This window comes from Homo sapiens, chromosome 16, assembly GCF_000001405.40.
Source record: "Homo sapiens chromosome 16, GRCh38.p14 Primary Assembly".
Lineage (NCBI taxonomy): Eukaryota > Metazoa > Chordata > Mammalia > Primates > Hominidae > Homo > Homo sapiens.
In genome coordinates, this window is record NC_000016.10 from 13,782,905 (window position 1) to 13,810,360 (window position 27,456).

The 27,456-nt window shown below is 41.7% G+C and overlaps 1 long non-coding RNA gene across 1 annotated transcript; it reads right to left on the bottom strand.

Annotated features, from left to right (window-relative positions):
* Window positions 1-8,830: 8,830 nt before the first annotated feature.
* Window positions 8,831-25,174, bottom strand: LOC124903646 (uncharacterized). The gene is made up of 2 exons (XR_007064997.1): window positions 24,941-25,174; window positions 8,831-10,254 (listed from the first exon to the last, which is right to left on the bottom strand). It is a non-coding gene; the product is annotated as an uncharacterized LOC124903646 (long non-coding RNA).
* Window positions 25,175-27,456: the final 2,282 nt, after the last annotated feature.

Genomic DNA, 27,456 nt, shown 5'->3' on the forward strand with positions numbered 1-27,456 from the left:
GTGCCAGACACCACTCTAACAACTTCATAAAGAGGCACTGTTGTTATCCCAATTTTACAAATGGGAAACCTGGTTAAGCTACTTACCTGAGATCATACACCTGTTTTTCTACTGGGTAGTTAATTTTTATCATACTGATTTGTAGGAACTCTTTATATATAACAGCTATTATCCATTTGATTGTTATGATGAATTCTACTGGCTGCATAATAGGGGAAAGACCATGTTGCCTCCAACTATCCTTGTACCATGTTTTTCATCCACCAAGCTGTACATGCTAACCAGTGAGAACATTTCATTTGCTAACCAGTGAGAACATTTCATTTTACCTTGTGTATTAGTTATCTATTGCTGTGTAACAAATTATCTCCCCCCCGCCAAAACAAAAAAGCAGTTCAAAATCACAAATATTTATTTTGTTACACATATTTCAAAGGACAGGGATGTAAGAATAGCTTAGCTGGATGGTTCTATCAAGCACTGTCAAATGGTTCTGGTGGTTTGCAGTCAAGCTCTCAGCCAGAGTTGCAGCCATCTCAAGATTCAACTGGGGTAGAACTTCATGTGTTTTCTGGCAGACCTCAGTTTTTCTTTGGCTTTTGACGAGAGGCCTCATTTCCTCCACCACGGGCCTCTCCACACAGCTTCTCACAATATTGCAGCCAGCTTGCCCTCAAGGGAGAGGAGGAGTGAGAGAGTGGAAGCCTCAGCCTTTTATAACCTATCATCAGAAGTGACATTCCATCATTTCTTCCACTTGCTATTGGTCACACAGACCAACCCTCGTACAACGTGGGAGGAGGTCATCTTTGAGTGTGAATACCAGGAGGCCAGGGTCACTGGTTCCATCTTTGAGAACGGCTACCAAATGTTGGGTCCATTATTATTCTTTAGTACTCACTTGTTTTGGAAACACACACGTGCTGAGTGACGCTTTTGAAAAGGAGAAACTCAGAGTCCTATACCTCAGAGATGGATTCCCAAAACTAAGGGGCTGCTGTGACAAAACACCATAGACTGAGTGGCTTATAAAAAACGGAAATTTATTTCTCACAGTTCTGGAGCCTGGAAGTCCAAGATCAGGATGCCACCATGATGAAGTTCCAGCGAAGACCCTCTTCTCCAGGTTCCAAATGGCAGACTTCTCATTATATTTCCACATGGCAGGGAGCAGAGGAAAAAGAAGCAAACTCATTTTTCGTTTTTGGTTTTTTTTTAACTTGCTATGTTGCCCAGGCTGGTCTTAAAACCTTGATCTCAAGCAATCCTCTCATACTTTAGCCTCCCAGAATGCTGGGATGACAGGCATGAGCCACCATGCCCAGACTCTCTCATGTCTTTTTATAAGGGCACTAATCTCATTCAGAGGGCTCCATCCTCATGACCTAATTACCTCCCAAAGGCCTTGCTTCCTAATGCCATCCTACTGGGAGTTAAACACATAATCAGTCCATAGCAAGATTTATACCTTCCACTATCCCCTAAGCCCAAGACTCCTACTGCAACCAACGAAAGCCCTCTGCTTATTTTAAGCAGGAAGAAGGGTTATTTAAAGGATGTTGGATACTTTACAGAATCTACAGAAGGGCTGGAAGATTACAGATTTGAAGGCTACACAACCAGGCACAAGGTGGAAAATTCATCCTTGGAGTAAATCCAGTGAAGACATCATAGCTTGCACGCCCGACACTACCAACAGTGGACACCCATGTTGCTACTACAATCTAGAGCTGCAACTAGCTTGAGGAAGTGACTGCTTCTGTTTGTCAGAATTGACTTTGCATGGTTCTCCTTCTTCGCAAGGTTTTGATTGAAAGACTTGACCAGGGCCATTTGACTGGCAGCACCCTTTGATGAGTCATTTAATGGGCCTGTGCCCTAGCTGCAAAGGATGCTGAGAAAGCAGTTGTCCATCCTTTTCAGCTTATATGCAAGGAGGCAGACCATCCTTATATTCTATGCTTCGTCATTTGGAAGATTCCTTCAAACATAAAAACTTCAGATGCCGAGCGGACAACAATAACAAAAAAAAAAACTGGAAATAAATATCTACTACACCTACAAAATTTGGTCAGAGAACAGAGAACATTTATCTAACTTGGAAAAGATCTTAAACACAGAACATCTAGGAAGTTCAATGCCCACACTTTACTAATGAGGAAATTGGGGCCCTGAAAAGTGAAAGGAATTGCCTAATGTAACATAGGAAGTAAATGACAAGAGGCAAGACTTTTCCTCTTGGATCCAGACTCCAGGAGGAGGGAGTTCTTAATCTCTATCATGGTATAGATCTCTGTTTAATAATTTGGTGAAGACTGTGGATTCTTTCTCAGTATAACATTTAAAAAAAAAATTAAAAGAATACATTAGAAACAAATTAGAAAGAATACAAAGGAAACAAATTACATTGAAATGTAATTATAGAAATATTAAAACAAAGTTGTGATACAGCAATATATGCAATACATATTTTTCTTTATTAATATATTAAGAACAAAATCTAGTAGCAGATCTAACAACCACTATAATTTCAAAGAAATGATATTCATTAAGGATATTTGAAGATTCCATAACAATTGTAATGAGATATTAAAATAACTATGACTTCCAATGATGACAAAGTCACAAGAATTGTAGATTCCACCATGGTTTTATTGCCTACATTCATAATAGAAAAAAATGCTAAAAGTCAGAGGTCAGTGGAAAAAGTTTTTTTCTATCCAAGTTGACTAATTCTTTATATCTTATCTTCAGAACTGCAGGAACTGGGGGTGGTCATTCCGGGATAAGAACTGCCCGGCCTGTTGATTATAGGATGGAAAAGCAGGGCACACAAATAGGCCAATAAAATCAGTTGAAATTGATCATGAATGGAGGGTTTGCAAAGTATTCCTTTCTTATGGGTATTGTGGGAGGCGAGGGTGTGCACGTGGGATACATACATGTCATGCATGTGTGTATGTGTATTTTCCTATTACAAGAGAGTCCTATATTTACAGACATGGAAAGACAGCAGGGTAAACTATTAATATTAAATGAAAAACACATTACAGAACGTGTAACAACAATAGATAATATTTACTGAGCACTTGCTAGAGCACTTACAGATGTCACCTCACTGAATCCTCTAACCAACACTTTGACATAGCTTTTTTTCTTTTATTTATTTATTTATTTATTTATTTATTTATTTATTGAGATGGAGTTTTGCTCTGTCACCCAGGCTGGAGTGCAGTGGCTCAATCTCAGCTCACTGCAAACTCCTTCCGGGTTCAAGCGATTCTGCTGCCTCAGCCTCCCGAGTAGCTGGGACTGCAGGCACCTGCCACCACACTCGGCTTATTTTTGCATTTTTAATAGAGATAGGGTCTCACCACGTTGGCCAGGCTGGTCTCGAACTCCTGGCCTCAGGTGATCCTCCTGCCTTGGCCTCCCAAAGTGCTGGAATTACAGGCGTGAGCCACCATGCCCAGCCATCATAGCTATTTTTTATTATCTCATTTTGTAGGTGAGTAAACCAAAATGTGGAGAGAGAAAGTAAGTTGCCCAAAATTGCAGAGCTGCTAAGTGAGGGAGCAGCCATTCAGGGCCAGACTATCTGACTCTAGGGCTTGAGCTCATGTCTGTTCTGCTTATCCACTTGTTATAATTAAATGCTTAACATTCTGCATGTATGTGTGTACATGTGGATACCTACATGCATTTTTAAAAGCTGGCACATTACATATGCCAAACCACTAACTGTGTTTACCTCTGGTGAGAGTGACTGGGGAAAGGGCAGAGATGGGATAAACCATTTCCTTTTTAAAAACTCAAAGACGCTTAAGTGTTTTTAAATAAGTGAGCAAGAGCCCCATGTATCAACCTGAGTGAAACTCACAAGTAAGGTTGAGGAAAAAATATATGCCCAGTATAATATGGTGCCTTAATATGTAAGACAAAATTACCTATGAGGTAGGGTCACAAACATAGATAGTAAAAATATAATGATATGCATGGACTCAATAAATATCAAACTTGGGGGAGGTAAAATGGGTGAGGAAAAGAAACAGATGAGGCGTCAATCATATTGATTATGTTTTACTTCTTTTTCTTTTCTTTTCTTTTCTTTTTTTTTGAGACAGAGTCTGGCTCTGTCGCCCAGGCTGGAGTACAATGGCGCGATCTTGGCTCACTGCAAGCTCCACCTCCCGAGTTCACGCCATTCTCCTGCCTCAGCCTCCCAAGTAGCTGGGACTACAGGTGCCTGCCACCACGCCTGGCTGATTTTTTGCATTTTTAGTAGAGACGGGGTTTCACCATGTTAGCCAGGATGGTCTCGATATCCTGAGCTCGTGATCCGCCCACCTCGGCCTCCCAAAGTGCTGGGATTACAGGCGTGAGCCACCGCGCCCGGCCAATTATGTTTTACTTCTTAAGCAACCTGGTGGGCAGTAGCCGCCTCTTATATTATCATGTACACTATTATTTTTTATTTGTTTCATAATAAATTTAACAGAGAGAGAAATTACTAATGAGAAATACCCACACACGGTCAATCCTTCGTTTTAGCTTTGATATTGTTTGAATTCTCACTTGGGAAATGTATAAAAGAAAAAGGGGGATGTAACAGGGCGGGTTAGTGGTTACCTTCGGGAAGGAGGGAAGGAGTAGTTACTGGGAGTCCACACGGGGGCTTCTGGAGACCAACAATGTTCTGTTTCATGAGCTGGAGTGACAGTTTCACACGTGTTTGCTTTGTGATATTTGATTGATCTGTATGTATAGGATTACGTTCACTTTTCTGAATATATGTTATATATCAAAATGTTAAAATGTAGAGAATCTTACCTTATGAATATACAAAAAAAGAGGAAGACATCTAAGGCACTTACAAAAGAACTTTAACCCCCTAGTTTTCAGCTGGTTCTATGCCATCCGAGACTCAAGGCCACTCAGCAGGTTACACTCCCCTCCATAGGCTGCAGGCACGAGGCAAAGCTGTAGTGCTCATTCAAGACCTTTCAAAACAGATCTCTGGGCACACCCCAGCCTCCAGCATCTTCAGTGGGGTGGCTTTTGTCAAAAGGCTGTCTACATCACACAAGTCCAGAAAAATACTGTCATGTGGCCAGGCTCTTAAGTGGGGAAGCCTGGGACACTGAGAAAGAAAACATGAGATTCCAAATGCCAGTTGAGACGCCATCCATTATTTGTTGTGTTGGTAAGTTTTTGTTTTGTTTTGTTTTGTGACGGAGTTTCCCTCTTTCACCCAGGCTGGAATGCAGTGGCACGATCTCAGCTCACTGCAGCCTCTGCCTACCGGGGTCAAGCAATTCTCCTACCTCAGCCTCCTGAGTAGCTGAGATTACAGGTGCACGCCACCATGCCCGGCTAATTTTTGTATTTTTAGTAGAGACGGGGTTTCACCATGCTGGCCAGGCTGGTTCAAACTCCTGACCTCATGATCTGCCCACCTCGGCCTCCCAAAGTGCTGGGATTATAGGCGTGAGCCACCGCACCCGGCCCTGTTGCTAAGTTTTTTAAGGAGCCACGGCAAGATTGTTTTCTGGCTTCTTTAGTGATAAATCCACCAGTCTCTTCTCAGGAATGGAGAGGACTTCCAAAGATCAAAACAATGCTCTTACAAGTAGAAAAGAGAGAGGTAACTGAAATGCAGAGGGAAGAACCATGATCTGGAAATCAGATCTGTTGCATCAGCTAGCTCATGCTGCATAACAAACCACTCCAAAATTCAATAGCTTGAAACAACAAGCATTTATTATTTATTAGTCAGCTAGGTGGATGAAGCTCAACTGGTCTTGGCTGGGCTTGCTCAAGTGTCACCCATAAGTTTGGCTGGATTTGGCTTTGACCTAACTCATGTGTGTCTTGACTGACTGGCTGTGAGCTGACAGCTAGGGGTGACTAGGCAGTGTGTTGCTCATCATCCAGCATGGTAGCCCAGTCTTGTTAGTATAATGCTTAGGTGGGTTTCCAAGACAGAAAGGAAGTGTGCAAGGCATCTTGAGCTGTTGACTTAGAACTATCACATCATCATTTCTGCCAAACTCTATTGGCCAAAGCAAGTCACCAGGCAAGCTCAGATTGAAGAACTGGGAAAAGAGACCCTACTTCTTGGTGGAAGCCACTGCAAAGCCACATTGCAAGATAATTGGGTACAGGGCGGGGGGGTGAAGATTTGGTGACATTTTTACAGTTAGTCCACCCTACTTGGTTCTAGTCCAGACTTTGCTTATAACTCACAATACAGTTTGTGGAAAGGTACCTCTCCTTTCTGAATCTCAGTTTCCATATCTGTAAAATTAGAGGCTTGAACTAGATCAAGGGCTGACAAACTATGACCTGCTGCCTGTTTTACTCAATAAAGTTTTATTGAAACACAGCCATGCCTATTTGTTTCTGCCTTGTCTTTGGCTGCTTTTGTGCTAGAACAGCAGAAGTGAGTAGTTGCAATAGAGACCCTGTGACCTGCAAAACTAAAAATATTTACTATATCGCCCTTTACAGACAAAGTTTCTGACCTGGGAAGTAAATGAGCTTTCAATTTCATTTGATTCTAATATTGTCTGTTTCCAAGCCTCCTCCACAGAGCTTAGTAATCATAATAGCACTACCACTTGTTGCACACCTACTGAGTGCAGTAGGCACTGTGCTAAGAAAGGCACTATGAGACGGGCATGGTGGCTCATGCCTGTAATCCCAGCACTTTGAGAGGCTGAGGCGAGTGGATCACCTGAGGTCAGGAGTTTGAGACCAGCCTGGCCAACATAGCAAAACCCCGCTTCTACTAAAAATACAAAAAAAAAAAAAATAGCCAGGCATGGTGGTGCACTCCTGTAGTCCCAACTACTCAGGAGGCTGAGGAAGGAGAGTTGCTTAAACCCAGAGATGGAGGTTGCAATGGGCCAAATTGTGCCACTGCACTCCAGCCTGGACAACAGAGAAGACGCCATCTCAAAAGAAAAAAAAAAGAGAAAAGCACTATTGCAGGGTGGTCTTGAGAGTGGATCCTGGATCCAGGATGCCTGGTTTGAATACCAGCTCCATCACTACTGTGAGTTTTGACAAGTTGTACCTCATTTCCTCATCTGTGAAATGGGAATAATGTCACAACCTCATAGGGTTGTCATAAAAATTCTTGAGTTAATAGATGTTAAACCTTTGGAGAGTTCTGCCTAAACATTCCATAAATGCTAAATATTATTCTTTACTTGTCTTGTCTCAGAAGAATTCTCAGATCATCCTTTAGAATAAGGAAACAGAGACTCAGAAAAGTGAAAGGGCCTGCTGAAAGTCCCACAGCTACCAGGTAGCAGAGCTGAGATTTGAAGTCAGCTCACAGAGACTTCCTCCCTGTCCAGTCTGACCACACTCTGGCATCCTCCTAACACCCAGACAGCAGGATGCTGTGTGCAGGGCTGTTCTTACATCTTTACATTACAGTAGCCTCCCTCATCCATGGAGGATGCATTGAAAATCCCCCCAGTGGGTGCCGGAAACCATGGATAGCACTAACTCCTGTATACACTGTGTTTCTTCCTGTACATACAGATCTATGATAAAGTTTAATTTATAAATTGAGCACAGTAAGAGATTAGTAACAATAACTAATAATGAAATAGAACAATTATAACAGAATACTATTCAGAATTCGACAGATACAAGATTTGTTTTTACTGTAGATCTTAGCAACATCAGTGTATTAGTCTTTTCTTGCACTGCTTATAGAGACATACCCAACACTGGGTAATTTATAAAGAAAAAGAGGTTTAATTGACTCACAGTTCCATGAGGCTGGGAAGGCTTCACAGTCATGGGAAGGTAAAAGGCACATCTTACGTGGTGGCAGGCAAGAGAGAACTTGTACAGGGAAACTCCTCTTTATAAAACCATCAGATCTCATGAGACTTACTCACTATCATGAGAACAGCAAGGGAAAGAGCTACCCCCATTATTCAATTACCTCTCACCAGGTCCCTCCCATGACACCTGGGAATTGTGAGAGCTATAATTCAAGATGAGATTTGGGTGCAAACACCGCCAAACCATATCACTCAGCAGACATGTTTCTTTTCTCATTAAGTCAAGAACTTTCACCTTTTTCATTTAAAATAAGCACTTTTTAGCTTCTCTTTGGAGTATCCAAATTGCCAGCATCACTACTTTTGCACTTTGGGGCCATTATTAAGTAAAATAAAGATTACTTGAACATCACATAAGATTCCATCATGCTACTTAGAATGGTGGGCAATTTAAAACTTATGAATTGTTTATTTCTAGAATTTTCCATTTCATATTTTCAGACTGCTGTTGACCATGGGTGACTGAAACCACAGAAAGTGAAATTGCAGATAAAGGAGGAACTACTGTGTACCTAAAGGTCATATCACCACCTGGAGAAAATGAGACGCTGTCTAGCCACTCCTCTCTGAAATGCTGTGCGATCAAATGCTACTCTCCCAATTGCTCTGCCCATGGGAGAGTTGTAATTATTCAGCTTGATGCTTGACTGGTTTTATCTCGGGGAAAGAGAGACAATGACCCGAGGTATTTTATTTCAGTAAAGGCAAGCAACTTAGAAAACTCTCATGCTTGAAATAGACATACTTCTGAATAACTTAGCAAACGAGTCTTCTGAGGGGGCAGGACACACACACACACACACACACACACACACACACACACACACACCCCAAGGTCATCAAATCTGCGCCCTTGGCTCTGGTAGGAACCCAATCAAGGCATCACAGATAGGCACTGCTCCTATATGCAGAATCCTACTGTATGAGTTTCCTATTGCCAATATAACAAATTACCACAAACTTAGTGGCTTAAATCAACACAAATTTATTATCTTACAATTCTGGAGGTCAGAAGTCTAACATGTGTGTCACTGGGATAAAATCAAGGTGCTGTGCTCCTTTCTATGGTTACTTGAGGAGGAGCCATCTTGTCTTTTCCAGTTTTTAGAGGTCACCTGTACCCCTGGCTCTCAGTTCCCTTCTATCTTCAAAGCCAGTAGTGACTGGTCGAATACCTCTCACAGGACCATTTCTCTGACCCTCATGCTTCTTCCTTCCTCTTCCACAGTTAAGTGCCCTGTGCTCCCTTTGGGTTCAACTGGATAACCCTCTCACTACCCAAAGTCTTCTGATTAGCCACCTTAATTCCATCTGCTACCTTAATTCCTCTTTGCTATGTAACATCATGTAATCACAGGTTCTGGTAATGAGGACACCCCGTGTTTCCCCACTGGTCCCAGCGATGCTAATTGTTTTAGGTGGGACACAAGCAAAGCGCTAAAACACAGATACACAAAATGGGAAAATCCTCTCCCTTTCAATTGTCTGCAATCTTTCTCATTATGTAAAACGAAGTCTCAAGTTGGTGTTACTCAGTCTTTGACACTCTCACTACCTCACATTATGTATTTGCACATTCTTAGAGTCATCTGATTAGCCACCTTAATTCTATCTGCTACCTTAGTTTCTCTTTGCTATGTAACATCATGTAATCACAGGTTCTGGTGATGAGGACATGGACATCTTGGGGAGTCTTTCTTCTGCCCTCACACTAATGATTTTTGCTGTCTGTCTCCCCTTCAGTTTGCCTCACTGCTCGTTCCCTGGCATCTAGAGCAATAATGTTCTCAAAGTCAGTGCCCAAAAAACATTTTTTTGATATTTTGAACATGTGCATATCCATTCATCTTCTAGTCTAAAGCAATTAAACTCCAGAATTATCTTCCTATAGCATACAATCGCTTGTGTTTTGTTGTTGTTGTTATTGTTGTTGCTGTTGTTGTTGTTGTTGAGACGGGGTCTGGCTATTGTCACCGAGCTGGAGTGCAATGGCATGATCTTGGCTCACTGCAACCTCCGCCTCCTGGGGTCCAGCAATTCTCCTGCCTCAGCCTCCCGAGTAGCTGAGATTACAGGCACCTGCCACCACGCCCAGTTAATTTTTGTATTTTTAGTAGAGACAGAGTTTCACCATGTTGGCCAGGCTGGTCTCAAACTCCTGACCTCAGGTAATCCACTCGCCTGGGCCTCCCAAAGTGCTGGGGTTACAGGCATGAGCCACCGCATCCAGCCAATTGCTTGTATTTTAATGCACAGGGACTTAGGATCAGATAGAAGTCAGAGGCACAAGAGTCACCAGGAGGGTGACCCAGAAATCTCACGTGGAAACATCAGCGCCTTTCAGCAACCACTTCTCAAGTTCGTTTGGCGTTCATTGTCCATCATTGACCTGGAAAGGACACAATGATAAGCAAGATAAGGAGGATTTAAATGACTTGGAAGAAATACAGAGCAAAGACATTAAATAAATACAGACCTTTAGAACTTAAAAAGGTGTCCGAGGGTCTCCATCCCCACGTTTCCCCTTTGGTCCCAATGTTGCTAATCGTTTTAGGTGGGACACAAACAAAGCACTAAAACACAGATTCACAAAATGGGAAAGTTCTCTCCCTTTCAATTGTCTGCAATCTTTCTCATTCTGTACAACGAAGTCTCAGGTTGGTGTCACTCAGTCTTTGACACCTGTCTAACACTGGCTCATCTCCTTTTTAACAAAGAGAGAGCAAGTCTCCGGCTACAGCCTGGATCAGGCTTCATCTCCCTGGGGTAGTGTCCCAGCAGTGCAGGTGGCAAAAAACAGGTGGTTTGAGAGGCACTAGGGCCAACTCCCCCTCTTCACTATTAAAAAAACGGTGGCCCAGAGAGGAGAGATAACTTTCTCAATGTCATAGAGCTGGTCTCCTGCACCCCATCTCCTCCATTCTAATCCAATGTCTGCCTCCTGTGTGTGAAAGTACATAAGAAATAACAGGAAAGGAAACAAGCCATCTATACCTAAAGGAATGAAAGAAGAGAATGGGAAGGGTTGGAAGATTAGTGCTTCCCTCTCTGGCCAGGCTGCTGAGTGCCAGGACTTGGAGAGAAGACAGGAGAATGCCGAGGAGCAGAATGAAAAATGAAGCAGTCAAACTCCCTGCTGTCAGGGAAGCCTGCTCCCTTCTGGCTGCAGCCACTGCCAGAAGGAATACTCAGGGTTTGCAGAGGGAGAAGCAAGGGTGATGCCAAGAAGCAGCTGGGAGTTGGGCCAGAAGCTGGGGTTCAGGACTCCCCACGACCTATGAGGGTGGACTTCAGATGGAAGGTTCTGAGGTGATCTTGTGAGCCAGGCAGACCACCCAAAAGCTCTACCCTGCACCACTTAACCCCCCAGACCTCAAGGAAGCCAGCCCCTGCCCCTCCTCCAGCCAAGCCAGCCTCTTGGCAGACACACAGATGGCTCTGAATTAACAAGAGCCAAAATTAACTTTCCAGGAAAATGTTTCCACCTTCCGAAAAGGACACTGAGAAAATATTGCATATAGCAAAGGGTTTCAAACTTTTTTAAAGCAGGTGATTCTGTCACTGAACAAACATGCTCATCATTTAATGATTTGGCAATCAGAGTTTCAAAAAAAGTATTTGACTAGAGCATAGTGAGTGCACAAAGATGCATTTTTAGATTAATGTATATGTAAAAAAAAATAAAGTCCTGCTGCTCATGAAAATTGGAGAGAGAATAGGTTTTGGGGCTCCAGCTCCTTGCCCCAACTCCATCACCTCTTGTGAGCAGCTAATTATAGATTGAAAAGCACTGAGAATCCTCCCTGCCCCCTTCTTTGCCATGCTAAAGGAAGCATGGGTCTGAGTTTTCATTGGGTTTAAAGCCACCCATGTTTGAAAACCAGAGACAACATGAGTCTAAAATTAAAATGACCCTTATTCAGCAAAACTTGACTAGATATTGGAGCTGCAAAATCAAAACTTTTACAATTAAGCCTTGGATTCTCCTGGCTGTTTTGGCTGGTTGGGCTTTACCTCCCATCCCTGCATAGTTCAAGTATCTGTAATATGTTGCTGCATAACAAATCACTCCAAAACTTCAGGTTGGTTCAAAACTATCATCATTTATTTCCATCACCATTCTGATCCACAGGGGTCAGCAATTTGGATTGGGTTCTCAAGGATATTCTTCTGGCCTGGGATGGATTTGCTGGTCTCGAATGAGGTTTATGCATGTGTCTGAGATCAACGGTCAATTAGCCATCAGATTGATGGTCACTGGTCAATTGATGGTCAGTTAGGGCAGCCTGGGGATGGTTTTCCTCCTGGGGTAGGCTGATGGTTGGCTGGCTGCAGCAGGGGCAGTGGCGGGGGTTCTCTGACCATATGTCTCCCATCATCCATTATGCTAGCCTGGGCTTGTTCACATAGTGGTGGAGGATTCCAAAAATATCAAGGGAGAACCCTGCAGGGACTGGGCTCAGAACTGGTACTTATACTTCTACTACCAATAGCATCTCTTTCTGAATGAGAGGCACATGATAGCGAGTTTTGCAATGTACTGCAAATAGACACAGAGGTACTTGCCCAGAAGTGACGGGAAGGGAATAGTTTATTTTGGAAGCCCCATTTGCCTAGTGGCTAAATGATTCACTTATAATCCATTGACTTGTACCCATAAGGAATGATGGGAAATTGGATTCCCAGATGTCTCTTACTTCCCAACACACCCCGTAATGAAGCACAGCATAAACCCTAACCCATCTGCTGCCCTCAAGAATCAAAGGCAAACCCATTCTTTCATCAAAGGCCAGACTCCTGAGTCTCCATGTTTTCTCTCTATCTCCTCCACTCACAACACATGCCACCCATTCAACCCCACATTCTGCTTCTTTGGCAGTGCCCCTCATCTCCATGTCAGCCCAACACACACACTGCTGGATATGCAAGGAAAACTGACCACAATGGGATTCATAATGCAGATTGTCACAAAGAATAGCAGTAATGCTACCCATACCTGCATTCAAATCCCCAGCTCCACCACTTCCCACCTGAATGACCTTGGGCAAGCTACTCCACCTCTCTGAACCTCAGTTTCTTTATCTGTCACATGGAGCTGCCTTACTCAACTGTATCCATAATATAAACATGCTGAGAATACGTACTGTGTGCCAGGAACTGTCCTAAGACCTTTGCGTATATAAACCTATTTTATCATTATAACAACTCTATCAGGTAAGGTACTATTTTTATTCTTATTTTGTATAGGAGAGAATTGAGGTTCCTAGAGGTCAGTGACTTGGCCATGGCCACATAGCTACTAAGTGTCAAAGACAGGATTCAAACTTAGACAGTATGGCTCCCAAATGCTGGCTTTAGCCACTATACTTAAGTCTCATGTGGCAGATAGATTTTCATTGCAAATGACAATTCCATTTACCCTATGGTAGAGATCAGAAGGGCTATATTAGGGTAAATCATGAGGCTGAATCCTTGCTCAGTGGAGTATATGTGTTGCAATTGATTGGCAAGTTCTGCCATAGACACGGGACTGAGGAGCAGTGGTATGGTCCAGCACATAGTTTGCATCTCTGACTTATCTTCACCATACTGCTTCCAGACATTGCCTGACTCTAAAGAGTCCCCTCTGGGTTGGATAAAACACAGGACTTTACAGAATTTCTATCCAATAACTGATATTATGTATTTGCACATTGAAGGCACTCCTCCACTCCTTCGAATCCTCTTGACTTCCATACCTGATACCTCTGGACCCCTTAGTCTGGTCTCAAGGTGGATTTACAATCCACAGTAGCCTTTGGGATGGGCACACACACACTCCACTGGTTTTTGGAAGGTGGTACCATGAAGTGCCCATGACATTTGCTTATCACAAAGAACAAATGCTCAGAGGCTATGGGGAAAGGATTGTGAAACAAACAAGGAATTTCTCTGACATCTCCAAGTTTTTCTTAAAAATTCATGTGAAGTTTTTCTTAAAAACTCATGTGACTTCTACATTCGATTTCATATCACACCTATAGAAGTTAATTTTATATTACCTTTCATCATAAATAATTGATGCTCTAGGAGGATGTGTCTCATTTATCTCATGGCTTACCATGATGCCCAGGAGCTGGCCCCACCCCTTCTACTCCAGACAAACCTCAACAGGCAAATCAAAATGTAGTGGAAAGATCACAAGATTGATGAGCCATACAGACCCGGGCTTGAATCCTAGCTCTCCTGCTTACTAGCTGGATGACATTGGACAAATCCCCTTACCCTTTTAAGCCTCGAAGTTTCCTCATATACAAAATGGGGATCCTCAGTAATCCCATTACTGGGTATGTATCCAAAAGAAAATAAATCATTCTACCAAAAAGCCACATGCACTTTCACGTTCACTGTAGCACTGTTTACAAGAACAAAGACATGGAATCAACCTAGATGCCCATCAACGGTGGATTGGATAAAGAAAATGTGGTACATATATACCATAGAATAATATGCAGCCATACAAAAAAGAACAATATCACGTCCTTTGCAGCAACATGGATGCACCTGGAGGCCATTATCTTAAGTGAATTAATGCGGGAACAGAAAACCAAATACCACATGTTTTCACTTATTAGTGGGAGCTAAACACTGGGTAATCATGGACATAAAGATGGCAACAAGAGACACTGGGGACTACCTGGAGGGTATGGATGGAGGTGTGAAAGGATTGAAAAACTAGTGGGGTGACTGGGTGTTGTGGCTCATGCCTGTAATCCCAGCACTTTGGGAGGACAACGCGGGCAGATCATTGAGGTCAGGCATTCGAGACCAGCCTGGCCAACATGGTGAAGCACCATCTCTACTAAATATTCAAAAACTAGCCAGGTGTGGTAGAGCACGCACCTGTAATCCCAGCCTCTCAGGAGACTGAGGCAGGAGAATCACTTGAACCAGGGAGGCAGAGGTTGCAGTGAGCAAAGAATGAGCCACTGCACTGCAGCATGGGAGACAGAGCAAGACTCTGTCAAAAAAAAAAAAAAAAAAGAAAGAAAAAGAAAGAGAGAGAGAAGGAAGGAAGGAAGGGGAAAAAGAAAGAAAAACAAAGAAAGAAAGAAAGAAAGAAAGAAAAAAGAAAGAAAGAGAAAGAGGAAAGAAAGTAATGAGGGAAGGAAGGAAGGAGAAAGGAAGGAAGAAGAAAGAAAAAAGAAAGAGAAAAGGAAAGAGAAGGAAGGAAGGAAAGAGAGAAGGAAGGAAGGCAGGAAGGAAGGAAGGAAGGAAGGAAGGAAGGAAGGAAGGAAGGAAAGAAAGAGAGAGACACTATTGGGTACTATGCTCACTACCTGGGTGGTAGGATCAATTGTACCTCACACCTCAGCATCACACATTATACCGATGTAGCAAAGCTGTGCATGTACCCTCTGAATCTAAAGTAAAAGTTGAAATTATTTTAAAAAAAAAAAGGAGGTCTTCTAAGAATGAAGAAAACCACCTTTGTAAAAAGTTCCTGAAACCAAAAAATACTTCAGAAATGCAGCTTCCTTTTCCCTATTTTTCTGCCCTCCAGGTTTTTTCAAGGTTTCTCAGCAAGCCTTGGTGTACATCACCAGAAGGTGCTTGGGTGCTGAATTAATGAGACAAAAGGATCAGAAGCCTCTCCCCGCCCCCTCATGGACTTCCCTCCCCTTCATTTTGATTCGGCCCAAAATAACTGAACTTGGATTAAAGTTGGGTTCTCTCTTTATGTCTGGCAGCTTAGAAAGAAGATTAAAACCTTAAACCCTACAGCTGCAGTTTAGTAAAAACCAGATTCTGCCTGGTTAATTGATTTTAACTTTCAACCCCAGGTGCCATGTGTCTGCATATGATTGGCTTTTTTTGTATTATCTTGAAAATTCATATTTTAATCCAATGGTTTCTAATCTGAAAATTTTTTAAGTAATTCATGCAAATAATTTTTTAAATCAAATGGAATGAATGGATTTCAAATAAAGAGTAATTTTCCTTCTGTGTCTAATTCCCTAACCTCCACCCAGTTCTTCTCCATAAAGGCAGCAAAGAGTACGAGATTCTGATAAATCTTGACAAAAATATTCTATTTATTAAAAATAAACACAATAGCTATAAACATGGTTTTAGATGTGTATAGGTATAGATGTAGGTATATGTATAGACACAGATACAGATGTAAATATAGATATATAGCTATAGGCTCATTTTTACACTAATGGAAGCATACTATACACAGAATTCTTCATAATATATCTTAAAGATTGTTTCATTTCAGTATGCATAGATCTGTTTCATCCTTTTAATAGCTGTTTTGTTATTACTGTATGTTTTATTATTCCATTATTTGGATGAACCATCATTTTTTCACCAGTTTTCTACTAATGGACAAGTAGGTTGTATTTAATATTTTCCCATTACAAAAAATTTTATATCAGTATGCTTGCACATGGTCTTTGTGTAAAGATGATTTTACAGTTTGTAGTTAGAGTGTAGGATAATTTAATATTAAATACAAGTGGGTTATATCTAATATTTTCCCACTACAACCAATTTTATATCAATATGCTTGCACATGGGTCTTTGTGTAAAGATGTTTTTAGAGTTTGTAGTCAGAGTGTAGGATAATTTAATATTAAATACAAGCAGGCTGTATCTAATATTTTCCCATTACAAACAATTTTATATCAATATGCTTGCACATGGGTCTTTGTGTAAAGATGTTTTTAGAGTTTATAGTCAGAGTGTAGGATAATTTGTCAGTGTCCCATGCATTAATATGTTCAGTAAGCAATTAGTAGAGCAAAACAACTTACTAGACACTTATGCGTCCCACTTCAAATCTGTCACCCTTATCCAAACAGAAAAACAAGATAGTTTATTCCAGAAGTTTGGTGAATTCAGATGCAACCTATAGAAATATCTCTAGCAGGCCAGGCACAGAGGCTCAGGCCTGTAATCCCAGCACTTTGGGAAACCAAGGTGGGCAGATCACTTGAGGTCACAAGTTCGAAACCAGCCTGGCCAACATGGTGAAACCCCATCTCTACTAAAACTACAAAATTAGCCAAGCATGGCAATGTGTGCCTGTAATCCCAGCTACTTGGGAGGCTGAGGCAGGAGAATTGCTTGAACCTGGGAGATGGAGGCTACACTGAGCCAAGATTGTGCTTCTGCACTCCAGCCTGGGAGACAAAGCGAAACTCCGTCTAAAAAACAAACAAACAAGAAAACAAAAACAACAACAAAAACTCTATCAATTATCAATGGTAGATGAAAATAAAGTTTGTTTCCCATTCTTCTTCCCACTACCCTACGAAGGAACCAAGCTTTATTTTCACAGCCTCAACAGGCCTATTGCTATTTATGACAAGCCAAAAATCTTGCTTGTGCTTTCTGGGAGCTTGAAGGCTCTTCAATTTTTGAGGTTCTATAGCTATCAGATACCCTAAGGCTGAAGAATCTCTTTGCTCCTCAATTCTCTCCCCGCCAAAAAAAAATGAGTATACAAATGATTTGGGATTTTAAGTTCACACACATTACTCCTCAGACATGAAAAAACATATAGTTTATTTTATTACAGATCTGGTCTTTCCCCTGAGCCCCCACCTACTAGGTAGCAAGAAAAAAAATTAAATTTAGTCTAATTCCATGCAACAATTCAAACTATTCCTTTGGGTAATATTCAGCATCTCTGATTACTCATCTTAACCTCAAAGACCCCTGTGAGTCTCTATCTAAGCAGCCAATATCCTACTTCCATTTAGGGATTATCTTAACCCTAGACATGACCAGTAGGGTTAAGCGGACATAGCGTTGGCTATATAGCACTGGTCCTGAGTCATGGGCAACCCATCAGATGGTGTCACCAGGTATTTCAAACAAAAGCCTTCTATTGAAAGGACTTTAGAGGCAATAAAGTCTAGTCTCTTCTTAATGAGTATGGAGGCAACTGCAGAATCATAGAATGAGCTTATACCAGACCTAATTGATGCATCTCCCCAAATCTGCTCAGCCCCTCCTGGCTCCTGGTCCTTGGTTGATTGTTATATGGTGGATTAAGGCATATAGCAAAAATCACCCACATTCTTGGCTCTTTCCTGTGTCCTAGGCCTGTGCTATATAACTTTGTAATGTCCTGCTCCTAAAGGTGGAGCGTTTGCACCATCGCACGGCTCTGAGCTCAACCATGTGACTTGCTTTGCTGAAGGGATGTTAGCCAATGTGATAGAAGCAGAAGCTTGATAAACACTGGCTCAGCTGAGCTTCCTCTTTCTCATGCCCCTCACCAACTGACATGAGAACACGCCTAGGCTCATCTCATGGGTGATGAGAGACATCTGAAGAACATACGTCTGATGGGCTACCCATGACTCAGGACCAGTGCTATATAAGGTGCTCTGGTTGCCCAAACCAAGACAAGCCTAGATCTTCCAATCAAGACCAGCCTACATCTTCCAACCAAGACCAGCCTAGATCTTCCAACCAAGACCAGCCTAGGTCTTCAACAGTCAGTCTACTAGCCACCTGCAATGATGCCTGGGATAGAGGCAATGCATGGACCCAACAGCCTGTGTTCCTCTCCCCAAGGCTAATTAGATACTACTACTGCTCAGTGGCCAATCTTGCGTCAGTAGAGACTTATTGATTCTCTGAGGCTTCAGGATGGCCCAATTATTTAAGCAGGCCATACAGCCACCTGGTAGAAAGTTTGTTGCATCAAACCTCTAACATGCTGAAGAAGACAGGAATTCATTCTTAACAGAATTAACACACACCCATGATATGAGTGTGCTTTCCTACTCTAAACAGGAATACAGACTCTGTTTTCCAAAGAACCTACACTAAAGACAGTCTCTGATGGCCTGTCTTAACTTCTCATGACTCTACCACTGTTTCGTTCCCTTGATCTGACTCTCAGCTCCTCCTCTTTAGAAGGAGAACAATACCACCTCTCTGACAAGGCTATTGAGTTTTGAGAACATGCTTTTCAGCTTGCAAATGCCCAATAAGAACAAAAATAAGAGCAAAAGAGCAGCAAGATTTTATTGTGCTAACTGCTTTACATACACTTTCACACCAGCCCTATGCAGTAGGTATTAATGTAATCTCCGTTTTACACATGAGGAAACAATCTTATTGAGCAGTAGTTTTCCATAAGGGCTGATTCTTCTCTCTGCAGAGGACATTTGACAATGTCTAGAGACATTTTCGGTTGTTGTACTAGTGGGAGGGGGAGTGCTGCTGGCATCGAGTGGATGGAAACCAAAGATACCACTCAATATCCTACAATGTGCAGGACAACCCCAGCAAAGAGAATGATCCAGCCCCAAATGTCAATAGGGTCAAGTCTGAGAAACTGTTATAGAGGGAGGACAAGTGATTTCTTAAGATGATGAAACCAATAAAAGGCAAAGCCAAAATTTAAACCTGAGCAATCTGATACCAGACACCTAACATCATGCATAGGCTTTGTTTAATTATTATTACAAGCCCCTTGAATCAAAGGAACAAATAAAGGAATAGAGAGAACTTGGCAGTTCCCAAGTAAGTCAAGGATCTTTGAAAATTTGCACGCTTCCTGAAACTTTGTCTGTCTGACAGCACTAGTTTCACCACCACGGATCATTAACAAGTTCACAATCAAGAAGGCACAAAATTTATCAAACATAAATCTCAGTAGTTGAGAATTCTAACTATTGAAATATGATCTCCCTTAAAAAGAGATAAGCATGTTCTGATGTAATTAACATTCATTACCTAGTCTCTATGGGAACCCACACTATTAGTAATTAAGCTCTGGTCCCGAGAGCTCTGGTTAATCTGCCAGCCAGGTGGTAGATCAAGGTGTATTTGCATGTATGCATAAATATAGTTATTGCAACATTATTTGTAAAAGCTACAAATGGCAAACAACCCAGATGTCCATCAGTAGGGGATGGCTAAACTAATTATGATCTATTCAATTAATGGAATTCCCTACATCTCGTCAAAAGAATTGGGATCTCTATGGCATTGCACGGAGATGAAGCAGTCTTGAAGATGTTTATTGAAGTGCAAAAAGCAAGGTGTAGAACAACATGAATGATAAGTTACTACTTGTAATTTTAAGGACAGAGATTTAAATACATGGTTAAAGGAACACTAATCCATCACTTTCTCTGTTTACTTCCATGTTGAGGGAATTGTTTCATTTAACACTTCCGCCTCTCTCTCCCTATCCTTATAGCAACTTTGCAGCAGCACCAACAGCAGTAAACCTGTTGTTTTGATTCCCTGCAGCCACATGTCCTACCTCAGATGGTTCAGAGCTTGGAAGGGGCAAAGAAGACTGTCATATCTTCACTCTCATCAAACCCCCAACATCTATACATGCTTGCGAAGACACTGTGGTCTCTAGAGAGAGCCTCAAAAACCTGATTCCTGTGGTTGTCTCAGAATAACAAAGGACTCTAGAACTCAGAGGTAGAGGGATGCTTACTGCTTGAAATGTCTTAAATGTGCAGGCAATTGCTCTTAAAACGAATATTTTAATGGTCAGTTGAGGATTATTCTGAGTCAATATTATGATAAATCCATTTTGCAAACTTGGGTAGGAAATTTTGGGTTGCAGAAGCCCGCCCCTTTCTAATCTTAATGATAAGTGATAAATAGGTAAGCGTTAAGAAAAAACATAACAAGTAAAATCTCTAGTCTGCTTTCCATGGGAAAGATCAGAATTGGAGAATTTTAATTCTCAATGAAGAAATTCACTGAGGGAGTGAGGTTCTTCTCAAACATTTTTAGGGCTGAGAAACTCACTTCCTGCAGCTGGAGATTCTTCCTTGTGTTGAAACTAAATCTGGGTCTTGTAACTTGGATTGTATCTATTGATTCCAATTCTTCCCTCTAAAACCACACAACAAGAGGTCTCACCCCTGCCCCTTTCCAACACCTGAAGAGGCAATCAAGTCCCCCAAAACCTTCCTTCTCCTGGTCAAACATCCCCAATTCCTTTAACCATTCGTCATGACTCATGTCTTTGAGGGTCTCCTCACCATCCTTTCTACCTCCCTGAAACACATTCCTGTTTATAAATAGGCTTCCAGAAAACATGTGACTCTCGGAACTAAACACAGTTCTCCAGGTGTGTTATTTTCTTGGACACACTTGGTTGGCGTGAATCCTTTGAGCAGCACAATTGAGGCATGGTCATGTACAAGTTGCCCTGAAACCAGGAGCCCCTATCTCTCCATCTCTCCCACCAATATATCTCAAAAGACATCATGCAAGGCTGCCCCTTGTTTTTCCTGAATGGCCAGTCTGGTCACCTTACGAAAAAGAAAAATACGTATTTTTTAATATTTTTCATTATTAAAAAATACATATTTTTAAATGTTTCATTATTTTTATTTTTCATAATTTCAATATTATTATATTTTATATTGTTATTATATTATTATATTTTAATATTTTTCATTATACTTTAATATTTTTCATTATTTTCATAATTTTTAAATGAGTTACCTGCCCCCACTTTTCTTCTAACCTCGTCTTCAAATGCCTCCATGTTCACTGTACTCCAATCATATCAGCCAACCCAGGCAGTCTTCTCCTCAGAGACTTGGCATTTGCCCTGCCCTCTGCCTGGCTCTTCCTTCAGATCCTTATCAACTGTCTGTTTTTCAGAATCCTTTCCTGATAACTCTTTTTTAAAATGAGATAAAATTCACATAGCATAAAGTTAGCTGTCTGAACATATACAGGGTACTGGCATTCAGTCCATGCAGAATGTGGTGCAGCCATCACCTTGGTCGCATTCCAAAACATTTTCATTACCCCAAAAGGAAATCTCATAACTATTAAGTAGTCACTTCCTAATTCCACCCTTCACGACAAATGAAAACATGTCCAGCTGTACACGAATGTATATAGCAGATTTATTTATCATTACCAAAACTGGAAACAATCCAAATGTCCATTACCTAGTGAATAGATAAGCAAATTGTGGTACATGCATGCAATGGAATATTACTCAGCAATGTAAAGAACAAACCAGATACATGTAACATAAATGAGTATCAAACGCAGTATGCCAAGTGAAAGAAACCAGAAGGCCGGGCACGGTGGCTCACTCCTGTAATCCCAGCACAGGGATTGAGAGGCCGAGGGGGGCGGATCACGAGGTCAGAAGATTGAGACCAACCTGGCTTATACCGTGAAACCCCGTCTCTACTAAAAATACAAAAAAATTAGCCGAGTGTGGTGGCGGGCACCTGTAGTCCCAGCTACTCAGAAGGCCAAGGGAGGAGAACGGCATGAACCCAGGAGGCAGTGCTTGCAGTGAGCCAAGAACACGCCACTGCACTCCAGCCTGGGCAACAGAGCAAGACTCCGTCTCAAAAAAAAAAAAGAAAAAAGAAAGAAACCAGAAACCAGACTTAAATGCTTATACTGTATGATTCTATTCCAAATAAGGCAAACGATAAAGTTAAAAATCACATTAGTCATTGTCAGGCTGGAAGTGAGGGAAAAACTATGAAAAGAAGTAAGGAAGAGTACTGGGGGGATGCTGGAATATATATCTTGTTATTGTAGAGGTCTTTACATGACTATATGTGTTTGCCAAAATTCATCCGACTACATATAAAAAGGTAAATTGGGCCGGGCATGGTGGCTCACACCTGTAATCCCAGCACTTTGGGAAGCCAAGCCTGGTGGATCATGAGGTCAAGTGTTCGAGACCAGCCTGACCAACATGGTGAAACCCCGTCTCTACTAAAAATACAAAAATTAGGTGGGTGTGGTGGTGCGTGCCTGTAGTCCCAGCTACTCAGGAGGCTGAGGCAGGAGAATTGCTGGAACCCAGGAGGCAGTGGTTGCAGAGAGCTGAGATTGCACCAGTGCACTGCAGCGTGGGGAACAGAGAGAGACTTTGTCTCAAAAAGAAAAAAAAAAAAAAGAAAGAAAGGTTAATTGTACTGTATGGAAATTAAACTTCAATAAACCTGACTTTTTAAAAAGTAAAATAATAAATAAAAATAAAAATAAAGAAATCACAGCAACCCTATTTCTTTCTCTGCTTTATTTTTCTCCATTTGACTTATTATCATATCACGCTCTATATCATTTTACTTATTTATCTTTTCTGCTATCTGCTTGCCCCGACCCCCATCCCCTGTAGAAAGTAAACTACCATAAGAGAAGAAAATCAATTTTTAATTGTTTTAGTCATTGCTATATCCCCAGTGCCTAAAACAGTGCCTGGCACATACACATAAAATATTCTCAAAAAATATTTGTTAAATTAATTCATGAATGGCTTTTGCTTTCTGAATTCATGCTGATTCCTTATCACCACTTTTTTTCCATTTACTTGAAAGCCATCTGTTCCAAATTCAATCTGAAATGTGACTGGAAACTTACCAGTGAGTTCTGCAGTCACTAGTTCTAAGAATACGCCTTTTTTTAACTTAAAAAATCAAGACCAGAGAATTCATCTCAAGCAGCATTGCTGAAGGCCTTTTCTTTAGTTAAAAAACTAAGCCTGTTTCAACCCACGGGCAAGCCCATAAGCAACACGGAGGGCCGTTCTACTGCATCCCATTCCCAAAAGCCTCCTCTATCTCCATCAGCATTGATTTCCTTGCTGCTGTCATATAGCCCTGTTTTGGTTTGCCTTGCTAACCTTTGGAACTACAGTACTGGGAAGACCCCACCACTCACCTGGTTGAGTCCTGTCAAGTTGTATATGTGAAAACAAAGCCCCACAGATAAGACATAGCATAGCCAAAACCAAGCAATCAATAACTGCAAATGCTAAGACTCAATTCCTCATGAAACAATAAGCTTTCAAAGAACAGACAATAGGATAGGTGTTATTCATCTTTGCACTCCCATAATCTAGGAGATTGCCTAGCAAGTAGGAGATGTTCAGCACCTTTTGCTAAGTTAATAAATGCCTCTGCAGCCTTATTTCTAGATAAGTAATCACACCACCTATGCATCAGGCACAGAGGCTTGCACTCTCTCTGGGATGAGCCTGCAGAATGACTTCACGGATGTCTTATATCAGCTGCTGGAAGCCAGTTGCATCCGAATCCGTCTATGCTCAGATAGGTCTGGGACTGTTTCTGGGGGAGTGACTAGGCTCTGGTTTCCAATAGCCATCCATCAATGACTTAGGAGGGCTTAGGGCTTTTCCAAAATTGAGCAGCAGCCTGTATACCATTCTCTGATCATGAAGGTTGCCATTCAACTCATCCCCAAGTTGGAGTTGCCCCCAAGTCCCTAATTAGGCGTTGGGTGTCCTTAGGTTGACCTGGCCCAGAGTGTCGTGCTTTCAGGCAACTCTGAATTAATAGCTTGCTATTCTAGAGAGAAGAAAAGTGTGGCTCAGAAGCAAATGGGACTTTGCCCAGAAAATCATTTAACATCTACACCTGTTATCCCCTCTGCCCTCATCCCCAAAGCTTTCCCTGGCTGGCCCCTTCTCAGCACGAATGATATTCTTCATGGATCTCTTTCCTGGTTACACAGTTAATGTTGCTCTCCGCTGTGGGCCTCCTGTCACTATCACATCACTCTGCTTCGTTTTCTTTATCTAAAATTAACTGTTGATTTTGATTGCTTGCTGGTTCATTGTTCCTCTCTTACTAACTAGGTTATAAGTTCTGCATTACTTCCCCAGTGCCTAGAACATCAGCAGGCATATCATAGATACTCCACGATCATCTAAGAAAATAATAGTTAACCAGATGATTTCCAAAGTTGGCAGAGCTAGCTGGAAAACACCTCTGGCTAGTAAAAGGTCTTTATCTCAGCCCAGGATCTTGTAGAATGACCTATCAGTTAGTCTATACTTCCTATGTGCTGAGCGCATTTTCACAACTTTGTGTTCACCCCCCGTTTCTCAGGTAAGGAAACAGAATCAGAAAATAGCATGCCCCAAAGAGCTCAGCCTGGAAGAGGCAGAGCTGAGACGCAAACACTAGTCCATCCAAGGCCGAAGCTGATGCTCTTAAGTCCTCTGATGCTCCCACAGCCCAGCTGAGCCAAAGAACAACAACAGCAGCAAGAATAATAATAGCTGACAATTACATGGTCCTTACCTTGTACCAGGCACTGCTTTAAGTGCTTTAAGAGGGGCAGACCCGGGGGTGGAAAATAAAGTCATTGCCAACAAAAAGAGTCTATCCCAGTCCAAAAATATGGTTACTCCTCCTACCAACAAGTGTTGTTCAGTAAAATACATCAGAGCACCGGTGGACAGCACTAGGCACATCGTGGGGACTTCACCCCTCTCCCCTATCCTTCCTCATCCTCTTCCCTCCCGGTATGAAAGGGAGGTTCTCAGATTGAACATTCAGTAGCTTAAAGGGGACATGGTGCAGTATATTTGGTAAATAGCCACCATAGGCCTTTGAGGAGAACAGAGGAGGTGTTCAGGGTGGAGGGAGGAACTCCGTACAATCATCGTCAAGAATAGCAAGAGCCCAGATGGACGCATATCAAATGTGCTTCACGCACATGATTCGGCCACCCTCTTTTCCACCAAGCCAAATATCCATAATTTAACAGTTGCAGAATATAAATGTTTCCTGCTGGCTTTGCATTCCCCAACTGGGGAGGAATAGTCATCACTTGCTTGGCAGACTTAGAGGCCATCTGAACACTGCTGGGCTTCTCGGCATCCTCGAAATTGCTTTTTTAAAAAAATTTTAGATTCGGGGATATATGTACATGTTTGTTATATGGGTATCTTGTGTATTACCGGGGATTGGGCTTCCAGTGTATCCATTACCCAAACAGTGAACATTGTAACCAACAATGTAACCAACAAAGTAACATTGTAACCAACAAAGTAACATAGGTACTTTTTCAACCCTCGCCCCACCCAACCTACTTCCCCTCTTTTGGAGTCCCCAGTGTCTATTATTTCCATCTTTATGTCATGGGTACCCATTGTTTAGCTCCCAGGTATAAGTGAGAACCTGTGGCATTTGGTTTTCTCTTTGTGAGTTATAATAGTTCACTTAGGATACTGGTCTCCAGCTCCATCCATATTGCTGCAGAGGGCATGATTTCATTCTTTTTTGATGGCTACATGGTATCAGAACTGCTTTACATGGCCATGTGCCCTCTGCCTTCCAACAATGAGCAATACATGCATGAGGTTCTGTAGAGGTGGCGGGTAGCAATAGAGACAGGATGTGAAGGGTCAATGGCAGTGTCGGGTGTCAGGCTGTGCAGGCCTAAATATCAAACTAGGGCAGGTCAAACACCCTCAAGGATGCATACAGGGAAGTGTGTGTGTGTGTGTGTGTGTGTGCGCGTGCGTGTGTGTGTGTGTGTGTGTGTGTGTGTGTGTGTGTTGGGGAAGGGAGTCTGGAATAGTATTGCTCTCCATGACCACAGAAATACAATATTCCTGATCACTTTCTCTCACAGCAAGTTATCAACTCTTTGTGGCTCAGTCATTCATCACAGCCCTTCTTGGCTCATTTTAGGGTAACATGTTCTCAAAATGTGGCCTATGCAAACAGCATTCCAGGAATGCCCCAGCAACCAGAACTAGGGAGAAATGTCATCCTTTAGTTTAAAAAGTTGTCCCACACACAAGCAACACAAGTACTCAATGCTGAAATTCTAGTGCGTTTTTAAATTAAATCTTCCTTTGGGATCCAAAAAGTACTTTGGGATTTTTCAAAACCTGGACCATGGACAGAAATCTGATTTTTTAATGTCAAGGGGCTGACTTAGGGCATATCGTTTTACTCTCTTGGAGACAAGAGTTGCTGCTTTTGAATGAGTCCCAAAGGAGGCTGGTTTCATCAGTCATTTTCCATGAAAATGGAATAAATTCATATCATAATATTTTTAAAATTCTAGTTATTTATTCTTTAATTAAAAAGACATTTATACAACAATGACTAAAAGGAATTATGTCAAATTGTTAACTGGGGTTATCTTTTAGTCATAATTTTTACAGTCCTTTTTACATTTTTGTTCTTTAAGTATTTGTGCAATAAGCAGTTATTTACTGTTATAAACTTTCTATAAACATCAGGGGTTTTTTTGTTTTAAATTCCAGTTCTTTGAACTTTCTGTATCAGATTTATTTATTCAACATATATTTTTGAAGCACCTACTATGTGCTGTATCCAAGTTAGCAAACAACAGTCTAAAAGCTATGACTGCTTTGTATAAATAAAGTTTTATTGGAACACAGCCATATCACTTTATGTATTATCTGTGACTGGTTTTGCACTACCAAGGGCAGAGTTGAGTAGCTGCAACAGAGACCAAATGGCCCATAAAACCAGAAATATTTACTCTTTGGCCATTTCTGGAAAAACATTTGGTGGCCCCTGTGCTATGTGAAAGGCTTTAACTTAGGTAATAGAAATCAACTGTGAACAAAAACAAAAAAGATATCTCTCTAGGGTCATGGAGCTTATAGTTTTTGCCTAAACATTGGGGTTTCCAGTATCCTTAAAAACAGCTGTTCTGAGGGCAAGGTGTGGTGGCTCATGCCTGTATCCCAGCACTTTGGGAGGCCGAGGCAGGTGGATCACAAGGTCAGGAGTTTGAGACTAGCCTGACCAATATGGTGAAACCCCATCTC